We start from the raw sequence: 13,481 nt of genomic DNA, 5'->3' as shown, positions 1-13,481 counted from the left end.
GCCTCCCAGCCATGGGGCTGGGTGAAGAGGATCACCTGCTTTCATTCTCTTAACCAGATTTTCCTCTCTCAGTATGAGAGTCTGTTCCCAGTCAAAATCCAGAGATGTTGGAGGGCATTTGGTAAAGGTTCAAGAAGTGGAAAACAGCAGAGTTAGAATCCACTAGGGATTCGATGCCCATGCCTTCCCCTGTTTATTTGAGAGCTAATTTAATCCATCTGTAGGAGTGTCTTGGTGTGGTTGTACAAGTTTCTGTCAGTTGAGGTTTACCTGACGTGAGTTTGGAAAAAGGACTTTTATACTATCTGCATAAGCCTATTTATCTTTCCAAGGCTTTTGGATTTTCCACTATTACTCAGGGCTGCACGCCCCACCTGTCTCACTACAGGACCCCTCTGTGTGCTAGAACTGGGAAAGGGGACAGGCAGTGGGAGCTGAAGGATTGGCTAGGCTGTTTACAGGAGAAGTTGGGAGATCTCAGATGGGGCCCCTCAGATGTCAGCCTTTTTCCTCTTGATACCAGTGAGACATCTAGCCCAGCCAGAGCTTTTTCAGATCAGGTTTTGTAAGAAGGCTTTCATTTCCTGCCTTGGTGGTAGGAAGAATAGACTATCTTTTCTTCCTGGTTGCAATTACCATCATCATCACTGTCATCATCATCAGCACCATTGGCACCACCATCATCATCACCACCATCATCATCATCAACACCACCACCAACACTACCACCATCATCTGCACCATCTTCTTTTTATCATCATCATCATAGCACCACCACTACCACCACCATCATCACCAGCATGAAAACACCATCACTAACATCACCACCTCCACCAACGTCAATATCATCATCACCATCAGTATCCTCATCCTCATCGGCACAAAATTCTCTATTTAATAAATATTATGCTCTAAGCCCTGGGCTCAGAGCTTTCATCTCATTTAATTCTCACCGTAACTATGAGATAGGTACTATTTTTGACTCTGGTTTACACAAGAGAAAACTGGGGCACAGAGAAGTTAAATGACCTGCCCCAAATCGTACACATAGGTAGTGACAGTCAGCAATTAAACCCACATTTATCTGGTTTTAAGGTCTAGGCTTTGAACGCCATAATCTCCTTCAAAGTATACCATCCCCTGAAGCTGTAAGTATAAAATAGCTTACTTTTTTGACCGATGGGAAGACCAAAGTTCAGAAAGGTGGAGAGGCCCTTTGAGACAAATGTTGGAGTGGGTAGAGCATCTAAAAGATGAAGGCCCAAGAAGACAGGCCCCAAGCAGAGCCAAAGACATGTGAGAAAGCATCTAAGAGAGCCCCCTCATCCAGAGGCTCAGATCTGACACCCCTCCTGGATGTCTTCTAAGATAAGCCCTTTTTCCCTTAGCTTTTTTCCTTGATTTCTGGGACCTGCTATGAGTGAATCATATCAGTTATTATTATTATTATTATTAATTATTTGCTTTTTGTTATCAGCCACTGAGTTTCTGGCTTCTTTCCAGGGTAAGCTTTTTAAAAGCCTAGGCATTTCCCACTTCGTATTCCTAGTGTTTGAAGAGTATCTGCTTGGAGGTGCATAGTCGATGTTTATTGAATAAGTAAATGAACAAATGGACAATCAAATGAACGAATGTATGAGCGTGTCCATAAATGAATGAAAAAAATCAGTAGATTCTGGCTGCATCTCTTTGTCTATGGGCTTCCCCTCCAGTGCACTTAGTTCTCCATCTCTAGGTCAGTTAGACTGGACTTAACAGTCACTCAGAACCATTCGACCTCTGACCTTTAGACACTCGGCAGGGCTTTCCACAAAACTACCTTCTTTTCACAACTGAATTTTGCATTCTCTGTCTGCATGTGTTGCATATTTTTAAAAGACATGTATGAGGGTTGCCCTTGCAGGATGGAATGCAGTGGAATTAGCTAGCTAATTCTGCCACAGTCGTTATGTGAATTGGGCAATGACAACCTCTTTGAGCCTCAGCTTCTTCATCTGTAACGTGATAATCCTTACCTCACTGGGGAGTGATGGAGACAAAATGAAATGGCATATATAGAATTGCCTAGCAAACCATGTCTACATATTAGAGATAGTCAATAAATGGCAATTTACCTCTTCTTTCCTTAAGTCATTCCCTCCCTCTCTTTCCGCCTCCCATTTTTTTTTCAGAAGCTATTATAAAAGCCAAGGTCTCAGCACCTAAAGGCATTATAAGGTTCTGAGGATAGGGAGATGCACTTTCTATTGTGAAACACTCTCAGCATCCCTGGGCAAGGGACAATGTGTGAGCAAATTGGATCTATTTCTTAGGAACTGATGGGAGACAGGCTGCCACCCCAGAATTCTAGGTCTCCAGACTGGAATAGTCTATCTCATCCAAAGGTTGCAAGCCAACAGCTTCTAGGCTACACAAACCACAGAAATGTTTTGTTTGGCATACAAGTGTTTAAAAAAAGTCAAAATTAGTTGCCAAACTTTTTAAAAAAAGAAAGAGATTTCAAATTTTAAGAACTCCAGATTTCTTGTACCCAAGAAAAAATGAAAAATTTGGCCACAGGAGGCCCACATTTCCACATTGCTGCACTTGGCTAATGCTGTCCCCCTTTGGAAGCAGAAAAACAACAACTGTGTTTTCCATAGTTTGCCATAGTCCCCACCATTCCCTGCAGTTTCTCTCTAGCATTGAACCTGAGGGGCATTTCCACCTATTATTGAGTTTGTATCATTTTGTTTATTAGATTAGAGGAAGAGTTCTCTGTACCTCTAATCACTTTGAAAAGTGCATGTACAGGGAAGGGGACTGAGAAAAAGAAGGTTTAGGACACAAAAAAGAAGGTACATTGTGTTTCTCTTTATAGAAGTTGAAAACACACTTATGAAAATGCCTCATGATTTCTAATTATATGAAGTTTACAAATAAGCAAAACCAATTCGTAGTGATAGGGACCAAGTCTACAAATAAATTTACAAATAAGCAAAACCAATCCATAGCAATAGAGAACAAAACAGTGGTTACCTTGGTGCTGGAGAAATTGCCTGGCCTGGGGAGGGAGGACTCCCTGAAGATTTGGACAGGTCCACATCCTAATATGAGTAGTGGTTTCATGAGTGTACCCAAAACAATTTATAATGCCTTACACTTAAAGAAGTAAGTTATAGCTCAATAAAAAAGAAGGAGGCTGAGGCAGAAGGATCACTTGAGGACAGGAGTTCAAAACCAGCCTGGGCAACACAGTGAGACCTCATCTCCACTAAAAAAAAATAAAAATAAAAAATTGAAAAAAAGAAAAGTAGAAAAGAACTTCAACAGTATCTGTAAAGTTTTTATTTATTAAGTTGGGTAGTATGTGTATGGGTGTTATATTTTTCTGCAAGTCTTTCTTTCCAAAATATTTACAGTAAATACTACTACTACTAATATGCCTCAGTGTTTATTTTTAATTATCATTATTATTATTCGAGACAGAGTCTCACTCTGTTGCCTAGGCTGGAATGCAGTGGCACAATCTCAGCTCACTGCAACCTCCGCCTCCTGGGTTCAAGCGATTCTCCTGTCTCAGCTTCCCGAGTAGCTGGGATTACAGGTGTGCGCCACCATGCTCGCCTAATTTTTGTATTTTTAGTAGAGACGGGGTTTCACCATGTTGGCCAGGCTGGTCTCGAACTCCTGACCTCAGGTGATTCACCTGCCTTGGCCTCACAATGTGCTGGGATTACAGGCGTGAGCCACCGCGCCCGGCTGCCTCAGTATTTAATATACAAAAGAGTATGTTTGGCCTGCTTCACTCATTTCTCCACCTGCCTGGTTCAGGTGGCATTTCAGTTTGTGACTCCTGAGTGAAGCCTAGCTCTCACTTCACAACTGGGTAAACTGTGGCCTAGAGAAGTGACAGGATTTGCTCCAGGACATACAGCAGGAAGGCACCAGAGCTTACACTAGAACCTGGGTCATCTGACTCAGCAATCATAAATATTTAGCAAGTACCTGCTGTGTGCTAGGCACCAAGGGAGGTACTATGGTAACTAATATGACCGTGGTCCTGCCTTCACAAAGCTCACTGTCCTGGTGTCCACATCATGACCTGTGATCTCAGTGTTGACATTCCACTCATCTAAGCAGTCATCTTTCTCTTCATTCATGTCAATATATGCAAAGGACTTAAAATAGAGTCTGTCTTGGCTAAGTGTCGGTGGTGGACCACAGCTGGCTTGCATAGGCTCGCAAGAGCCAGCAGTGCCTGGATCTTCCCAACTTTGTGCTCAGTGACAGCAACCTGGAAACCTTGAAATCTGCCACGGTAGGAATATTTATATCACAGAAATTGGGAAATGCTACAAAGCAGAGTCTAATGTTTGTGGAGAGCCAGTTGTTAACTATTTGCCAGCACATCCCTGGTAAGCCATCACTAAATGTATTGCCTTTATTACTCTACATTTCATAGAGGCTGCAGGGATAGCTGAAGTAAACTATCAGACTGGCCTGGGTCTCTCTTCACCTTCTCTTAGGCAAGTGGCTTCCACCTCTGAGATTCCATTACTTCCACTGGAAGCAGGAAGAGACTAATACCCACCTGATAGGGACATATGTGTGTGGTCGTACGTGTGTGGTAGGGGGTGGAGGTGGAAATAAAGGATAGGAAGTGCCTGACCCAGTGCCTGATCACAGCAAGTGCCCAATAAATGCCAGTTCTTGCCTCTCACTCTCTTACCCCGGGGATAAAAGTGGCAGCAGCTGGAGCAGAGCCTCACCCCCAGCTATCTAAATTGCACTGGTGCTCGCAGGCAGACCCTCAGAAAGCAGAGGAGCTATCCAGGGCCTCCTCTGGCCTGGAAATGCTGGCACCAGCAGCTCTATTTCTGTAGCTCTCACCGCACAAGGGGCAAGGGTGCAGCAGAGGCCAGCTTTTCTGCCTTATTCCTGGAAATCATCAATCTCTGCCCTTCGCCCTCCTCCCTTTTTCTACCACATTTTTTTCCTCCTGGATAATGAGGCCTCCAGAGACCAGTGGAGGTCTGAACCTCATTATGGTTCTCTCGGTAGGCCAGCATCAATAAAGGCAGGCAGACCAGGGAACTGGGTTGGGGGATGGGGCAGGCAGGCAGCGGGTGGGCAATGGTGGGGAGGGGGGGCAGCTTGCAGGCTTTCAAATCCCTGGATTTATTTCACAGTGAATCATAACTGAACTCTTTAGTGCCCAGGGCCCACAGAGGGAAGGGTGGGAATTTGCCCAGGGGGTAGGAAAAAGGTCTTAAGTGGGAGGCTGGTCCAGGCCAAGAAGATCTCTGATACTGGGGTGAGAGGGAGGTCTCCTGTGTCTGTTTTGTGTGTGAGTCAAACTCACCTGCTTTCGGGTATGTGGGAGTTCGGGTGGGAAAAGGAAGGAGAGCTGGTAGTATTGGAAGAGCTGCCAATCACAAGTCCAGCTTGTCGTTCCAGTTGTGCTGCCTGTGTGGACCAGCCGCCTTCCTCTATAGGCCTCAGTTTCCCTATCTGTACAATGAGGAACCTGTCCTTGATTATCTCTAGCTGCCTTGAGATTCTGACATGTGGGCTCCCTGCATGCCTGGGTATATGAGCATATCAGGGTGCACTGGGGCACTCGGGGGAATCTGTGCAGGAATTCTGGTTCAGGAATGGTGGAGGAAACAGATGAAAGAGCTTGAGGTTTGGGAAATAGGGCTGTCTTGTAGATATGCAGAGAGTCAGAGGCAGAGAGAGAGAGAGAGAAACAGTGGATGATGGAAAGGAGAGTGTGGGAGAGAGGAAGACAGAACAAGAGGAAAGGTATATCAGAAGAGGGAGGAGAGAGAAACAGAGTGGAAAAACAGAGATAGGAAAAAAATTAGTGAGAGTAAGATGAAGACAGAAAAAGAGACAGCAAAAGAGAAAGAGGAAGCAGAAAGGAGTGGAGGAGCATGCCGGGGCGCACAGAGGAGTGGAGGAGGTCTGGCCAGGTCTATACACTCGGAGTGCTGAGTAAGCCCTGGCAATCGTGCCCTCAGCGCATTTGAGAAACAGTACACCCAGTATCAGGTTCTGCCCAGCTATCCAGAGTGTGATCTGCAGCAGGCAGGCAGACAGTAGCTCCCTGGGCTCCATGGCCTCTCAGCACCCCAGGCAGTAGGCTGGTTGGAGAGACACAGAGCTGAACCTCGCCCACCCCGCAACCCCGGCCTCCTTCTTTCGGTTTCTCCAGGGTGAAGAGCCAGTGCCCAGAGTGACACATAAGGCCTGGGACCTGCGATGTCCTGGGGGAGAAAAGCAGGGCCCACATCAGCTCTGGGGGCCCCAGTTGATTGGGTGACACAAAGGCGAGTGGGAACAGCCAACCTTGAAGTCAAACTGACACTGCCCTGAGGAGGGGGCCTCTGTAGTCATCTGGCTGGGGGCACACCGGCCTGGCACTGTGGGAAGCACACAGGGCTCAGACTCAGGTTTGGGTTCAAGCCTTGGTTCAGGGCCCATCACCTCACTTCCGAGATTTCAGTGTCCACAACTGGAAAATGCAGACAATGACCCTTCTCTCATACAACTGTGCTGAGGCTAAAATGGAGTCTTCGTGCTAAGCACCGGACACATGAACGTGGCAGGTTCTCCACAAACAACCGATGTTACTAGTTTGCTAGACACCTATTAATTGCTTTCCCCAAAACAGGTAAAGCTTGGAGAAGGATACCAGAAACCTAGGCTATGTAAAGTGGAAGGCTACATGGGAGGGCACCAGAGAAGCCATACAACACCATCCTTATGAGTATGGACTTTCCAGCCAGACAGACTCAGGTCTGAAACCTGGCTCTATGCTCCCTACCTCTGTTATTGGTGCCTCAGTTTATTCCTAGGCTGACATCAGCATTTAGTGGACAGTAAATAAAAGGCCCTTCACATAGGACCTGACAGAGAGAAAGTATTAAATAATTAAGGACTAGAGAAATGATTGTGAATAAGTCTCCTCCCGACTCTACCCCACCTCCCTGCAACACACACCCACAGGGCAGGTGTGATGATTAAATGAGGTAATATGTGTGAAAGAATGAACTCAGAACCGGGACATAGCAAGTGCTCAACAATATCATTTCCCTCCCCCTTAGCTGCAGGTGGGTAGATGTCCCTGGTCACTCACCTCTACCCGTGTGGGGTTCAGCCAGTGGGGGATGTCACGCACGGTCACGTTCATTGGCAGGATGATGGACTCGCTGTTGTGGTCCAGGCACGAGGTGGCACACTCCGACCCTGAGGGAAGTACAGCATGAGGCGCAGCTCAGGCCCGAGACCCTCAACATCTGCAAACTGCCCTCCTGCAGAGTGGGCCCTCCCACTCCCTGGTCCCTGGTGGACTCAGCTACCCAACCTGAAGGCAGTGGGAAGGAGAAGGCAAGCCAGGCAGGGCCACCTCTGTTCTCCCTGACTCCATTCACATGCCTCCCATCTGACTGGTTCCTGCTGCCACACTCATTGGCTCTGACCCTAGTTTGATCAAGCTCCTCCTCTGCTCAAACACCTTTCCAAGGCTCCCCACATCCAGAACAAAATACAGCCCCCTTTGCTGGGCACTCAGTGCCTCCTGCGGTCTGGTCAATCTCCTCTCTCACTAACCACCTTCACTCTTTGGTTGGTTCAACCGGACTGAACTACACTTGGTTTTCCATCTGAGTCCCACAATTCTCATCCTCTGTGCTTCTTCTCTTGTTCATCCCATCTCCTGAAATGTCCCCCAATCTGCCTTCCCATAACCGAATTCTATCCATTATTCAAGGGCCAGTTCAATTCTTCTAAGAAGTTTGCCCTGAATTCCACAACTGAGTGAGAGTACTCCATCATCAGATGTGCTTGATTCATCTCGGAGTTTAACCCAGCGTGTGACACCCAGGTAGAGCTCAGTGAGCACTGGCCGAGTGAATGATGAGCACATAAATGCAATACCAGCTTCTCTTGCCCCAGGGTTTCATCCCTGCCTTTCCCTGTGCCTTAAAGACCCTTCCCACTCCAACAAGTGCATTTTTAATGATCTTACAGACCTCAATCCCAAGCCACTTGCTCAGAGAAGACCTTCATGGTTTCCTGACAGGCCAAGCCCCTCCTAGGTGCCCATGACAGAATTGTCACATGATCATTTCCTGTTTGCTTGGTGAGTGTGATATCAATAGCTCTCTTCCCTGCTGGACTGTAACTCTATAGGGCCAGCACTACCCATGCTCCCCATTCTATGTCCAGAGCTTGGCACTGTGCATGGCAGATTATAGGCACCCAATAAGTATTTGTAAAATGAGTGCAAGAGACAGTGAGTGAATAAGTACATCAATGGATCAGGAAATGAGTGGATTAATGGATAAATGAATGGCATGATGACTGACTGATGAATATGCATTTAGGTGTCGTATGAAGGAAGAAGTAAGTACATAAATGGATAAGTGAATGAGTGAGTTATGGATTAAATGGATAAAGGAATAAAAAAAATCAGGTAATGAGTCAAAGAAGGGGTAAATGACTAATAGAGATAGGGCTACTACATAGAAGCCCTTGGTCCAGGAACTTTTGGGTGAAGACAGTTGACTTCCAGGCTGTGGGTTGGCAAGTTGACTGTAATTCAGCTCATTCATTCTCTACCCTGACCTCACACATCCTGAGGTCATCTGAAAAATCAAGCCTAGTCCATGGAAAGTACTCAGTACCCCAAAGAGGCATTTATTCATGTGGGCAAAGAAACAACCTGTCAGAATCTGACTAGGCCTGAAAGAGGCCATTTCTCTTAGTATCGAAACCACCCTCCAAACACTAGGAGCAAGTCAACTCTTTTCTTTAAATATCCTATTCTATTAGCTATTTTAAAGTCCCCCCTTCCAAATATACATATGTATGTATTAGCTATTTCAGAGGCCCCCTTCCAAATATACATATGTACATGACACCCGTTTCACAGGTTGGAGAGCCAAAAGGCACAAAGCTCAGGGCACAAAGCTGGTGAGGAGAGAGCCACATCTCTAATTCCAGGCCCCACAATCGATAACAGTGCAGCCACACAGAGAGAGGAGAGAAGGAGGCAGCCATCGAAACAGGAGAGATGGTGAGAGGCCAGAGGAGAGACAAGAAATGGGGATAACACAGACAAAAATGATGAGTGATGAGAATAAGGAGCAAAAATCCCTAAGCAGTCAGAGAAACTGCTTATGGAGTGTGCTTTATCATGAGACCAGTTCTAAAGGAGTTTTTAGGGAGCAAAGATGAGACAAGGCTGTGATAATAAAATCCTTTTGAAAAAAAAAAATGCAGCCTCTGAGAAATAGACAAAGGCTATCTTATCCCAAGAGAGGAAAAAAAAAAAAAAACGGTTGTCAAAACAGGAGACACTTGCTGTCCTATGCAGCGGTCATGTCTTAATTTCTCTTTCTCCGCGTCTCCCTCCCCCAGGCTCTCCTCCCCTACCCCAGCTCTGGGGCTTTAGGACCAGGCTGCTGTGTTGTGATATATGAGCCATTATTGGCATCCTTACAGAGTGGTGATCTCACCAGGCCTCCGCGTCTCCTTCCCGGGAGGCGCGGGGAGGGTGGCAGCCCTGGTGGCAGCAGCAGCAACTTTCTGAGGGCTCATAACTGCCACAGAAGCCTCCCCAGGTGGCCTGGGGGAGGCACGCAGGGGGAGCTGGTCTGGGTGACTCCAGAATGTGCCCTCCAGCCCCCAAGCCCGACACATATCTCACCCCTGCTTATAAGGCCAGTGATCAAATCCCTCTCCTTGGCAAAGTGGATTCTCCTCAGGGAAGGGCTCAGCCTGGGAGGTGGAAGTCAGGCGCATTTGGAGGAAAGCGAGGATACAGCTGGGGCTGAGGAGTGGATGAGCAAAAACTGCTCTCCTGCCTTGTTTCTCATTCTCACCCTCAGTCTTCCTGTCTCCCTATGTGGCTTTTTCTCTCTGATCTCCTCCAGTGTCCCTATGCACTCATCATCTGCCCTGGATTATCACATTTATAAGATGGACATCTGGGTGCCAGCCGTGGGGACTTGGGGTACAGGAAAGGAGTTAATTCAGGCTGCAATATCATATAGATTTCTTTCCCTTTCTGCTTTGACCATGAAAACACTCAGTGGGTAAAGAAATACCACCCTCCCACCCCTTCCCCTCTTTCTCCACTGTTCTGATGGAGAGAAGACAGCCAGGTATCGTACTCATTTGCGTACAGTTGAGACATCTGAATAAAATATGTAAATGCGTCTGTGAGGTTTGTTTGCCTTTTGTGCGTCTTTCTGTGTGTTTGATATGTTTTGGGACATAAAATGTGTTTGTGTTTGTTGAAGTATGAGATTTGTATGTATTGCATGTGAGTGCTGTGTATAGGTTTATGTGCTACCTGTGTGTGTATGTGTTTGTGAGAGTGATGCATTTGTGTGGTATTTGGCTGATGTGTAGGTGTTAGGCATGAGCTTACTATATGATGTGTGTGTTTGGGGCTGTTTGTTTATGAAGCATTTCAGCATGTGGCATGCGTTTATGTATGCACGTGTGAATGTATTTGAATGTGTCAGTGGGTATAGATATGCAGCAAATTTGTTTCTGTAGGTTTTCCCTAAAGGTCACTTAATTAGGCTTTTTCTCACAGAGCCACTCAATGCCAGTTAAGAGTATGAATGAATATTCACTTGCATATTCTGATTGAGCTGGAGGTTGGGACCCCATCACAGACATACTTGTTCAGGACCACGCACACCTATCAGGAATGATGGAAAGGAGAAAGTGTTGGCCTTGGGATGGTGCAGCCCATGCTGCTCACCATGGCAATACTTGTTGCCCAACCTTCTAGAATGCCTATATTAGCAGGTCCTATAAGATCCCATCTCTCTGCAACACTCCTGGTCAGCATCTCATGAATTGGTGGCTGTATAAGATCTTAAAGTACCTTCCAAACCATCAGCGAGAGCAATCATGTGTTTTGGTGTTTTCTGACCCATGCAGGAGCCAGTGTCCTGGGCTAAACACAAGAGTGCTGATTCCCACTGTAAGTTACAGTGAAGAACTTCTGCTATCTGAGGGCATGTGTTTTCATCTTCAAAAAAGGATGGACAGTCCCCATGAACCTTCCCTCTCCAACCACACAGGCCTTGCTTCTGGACATGCAGTGATAACTCTCTGTTTGCTGGATGAAGATCATGTTGGCTCTATGCACATTCAGATAACCTTCTACACCAGACACCCCTGGTGATTGCTCTATAAATCATATTGGCCAGGAGAAAGGATGTTCAGTTCCCTAGGCTTTTCATCATGGTCAATTAGGGAATCAGCCCAAAAGGTCAGCATCACTGCCCTTAAATGAGGTCACACTCCATGCACTCTGAGTACCCCGGAAAGCTGTGGTGCTGGTGATTAATGCATGTGTCCAGACACCTGGTTTCAACGAGGCAAATCCCTGGCATACAATCCCAGCTTGTCTCTTCTCACTGTGTGTATTTCTCGAGCTGGCCTGTCACCATGCAAAGAGTATTTTGAAAATGCAGTTTATGCTCATCTTGGATGCAGCTGAGATGCCATGGAAAGAAGTCAGACTTTGGAATAGGATGGGTCTCAGGATTTGGGAGCATGTTCCATTATCCCCTCAAGTTTTGATTCCCTCATCTGTTAAAGGTTATTGTGAGGATAAGATATAATGCCTTTCAAGTGCTTGATGAAGGGCCTGAACTATATCAGGTACTCATGAATGTTTAGTATGATGCAAATTTCAAGATTAATAATAAAAGAAGCTGCACCAGACTGCTATTGCTTCCCTAAATGTGATGTGTGCTTTCATAACTCCTGCTCCTCAGCCACAGAGTTTCTTCTGCCTGCAATAGCATTTCTTCCCCGACAAGCTTTTTCAAATCCCCAAGTAAGCATCCCTTCCTGTGGGAGTCTTCTGTGTCCCCACCAGGCACCTGACAGCTTTTCTGTATTCTGTTGTAACTGTGCACACTCACCCACCATTGTGTCACCATATCCCTGTCCCTGACCCTCTTTCTGGGAGGACATGGTCTACACTAATTCATCTCTCTTTCTGTAGTGCCTACGCAGGAACTCATGTGGCCAGGGTGTTCAATGACCCACCCAGGCATTAGCCCTGCATTGCTGGAAGGAATTGCCCCTCCTACTGCTCCCCTCTCGGGCCCATCATACCTATGGCATAGCCATCAGGGCACTGCAGTTTGAGGTTGCTGTTGAGCTCGTTTGGAACCGAGCACTGGCCTTGCATCTCCTGGCAGACATGGAAGGAGCCGTTCCAGGTGCCATCTTTCCGGCAATGAATGACATTGCTCCCAAGTCCCTGAACAACAGAGAAACAGAGTTAGGACCAAGAGAGACACCAGCCCCAATTGAATAAGCTATTCTGAATACAACAGAAAAGAATTTTTCATCTCTCCAGAGCTCTGAAGTGTTCCAAAACAATTTCTTAACAATGGTTGAAACTCAACCACCCTGAAAGAGGGGTATTGTTAGTGTCTCCATTTTACATATGGGGAAACTGAGGACTCAGACCAGGAAGAAACTTGTTCAAGGCTTTCCAGAATGCCAAACTCCCAAGTCCGAGCTTAGTAGTCTTTCAGAAATTTCAATCAGAGCCAATTATAGTTTTGATTTGTGTGTGGGAGTTTTTTTTTTAAATTGAGAGGGTAGGAGCCCATCAGCTCCTTGAATGACACAGAGAGTAGCAGCATGGGTTAATGAGGAACACTAAAGTTTACTTCCTCTTAAATAGTGAGAAAGTATCCTATGTCAGGGCTCTGTCATAAATAATAATCTGGGTCTAGCTGAGAAGCTTTTTTTCCAAGACATTTCTTTTCCTTTTCTCATCTTCTCTTTCTTTCATTCCATTCCATTCTATTCCATTTCATTCCATTCCAACAATAATGGCATGAAGAGGGTGATATGGGGATACTTATATATCTGTGCTTTCCTCCCAATTCTTTAAAATAGGGAATTATAGTTTCTCAATCTTCTGCAAAGCATTAGGCAAATGCAGCTTGAAGACATAATCCCTTCTTGACGTCCCCTTCCAACCTCCGAATTTCAGAAAGCTAATTCAAGTAAGATTCGTTAGTGTCCAATCTGTGCCCAGCTCTGTGGGGTGCAGAAGTGAAGAGAGCCAGTGCCTGCCTCTGCGATCTAGTGGGAATGGCAGTCATGTGATCCACCAGCCATGTCAGTGTGACTGTGTTCAGTGAGGCAGGGCAAATATCACACCAGTGCTGTGAGTACACAAGGAAGAGTAACTGGTTATGAGGGGACAATCAGGGAAGGCCTCTTAGAGGAGATGATATATGGAAAAGGGTTTTCAAGGATGCATGGAATTGCAGGCAGAAAAGGAACAGAAGATATTCCTGGAAGATGGAAGGGCGTGTGCAAATGATGAAAAATATCGTGTGTGCTGGAGAGCCTGTTGTGGTTCTAATTCTATGACTCAAGGCATGAAGCAGGGGAAGATGAGCTGGTAACACAGATAAAGCGTGGAGCCTTAAATG

At 46.1% G+C, this 13,481-nt stretch overlaps 1 protein-coding gene and 1 long non-coding RNA gene across 4 annotated transcripts in view; one reads left to right on the top strand and one right to left on the bottom strand.

Annotated features, from left to right (window-relative positions):
• The window catches only part of PAPPA (pappalysin 1), a 248,531-nt gene that overhangs the window by 27,444 nt on the left and 207,606 nt on the right, over positions 1-13,481 (bottom strand). For all 3 annotated transcript variants that reach the window (NM_002581.5, XM_017014784.3, XM_006717129.4), the window contains 2 exons: positions 12,139-12,286; positions 7,124-7,233 (listed from right to left, as the gene is read on the bottom strand). In NM_002581.5, coding sequence (NP_002572.2) covers positions 7,124-7,233; positions 12,139-12,286 — 258 coding nt within the window. The remainder of the gene's footprint in view (positions 1-7,123; positions 7,234-12,138; positions 12,287-13,481) is intronic.
• Positions 11,202-13,481, top strand: part of PAPPA-AS2 (PAPPA antisense RNA 2) — a 77,849-nt gene continuing 75,569 nt past the window's right edge. Inside the window, exon 1 of the long non-coding RNA NR_170222.1 lies at positions 11,202-11,281. This is a non-coding gene — a long non-coding RNA (PAPPA antisense RNA 2). The remainder of the gene's footprint in view (positions 11,282-13,481) is intronic.

Source organism: Homo sapiens, chromosome 9 (genome assembly GCF_000001405.40).
Source record: "Homo sapiens chromosome 9, GRCh38.p14 Primary Assembly".
Lineage (NCBI taxonomy): Eukaryota > Metazoa > Chordata > Mammalia > Primates > Hominidae > Homo > Homo sapiens.
This window is presented reverse-complemented; position numbering and strand designations above follow the sequence as displayed.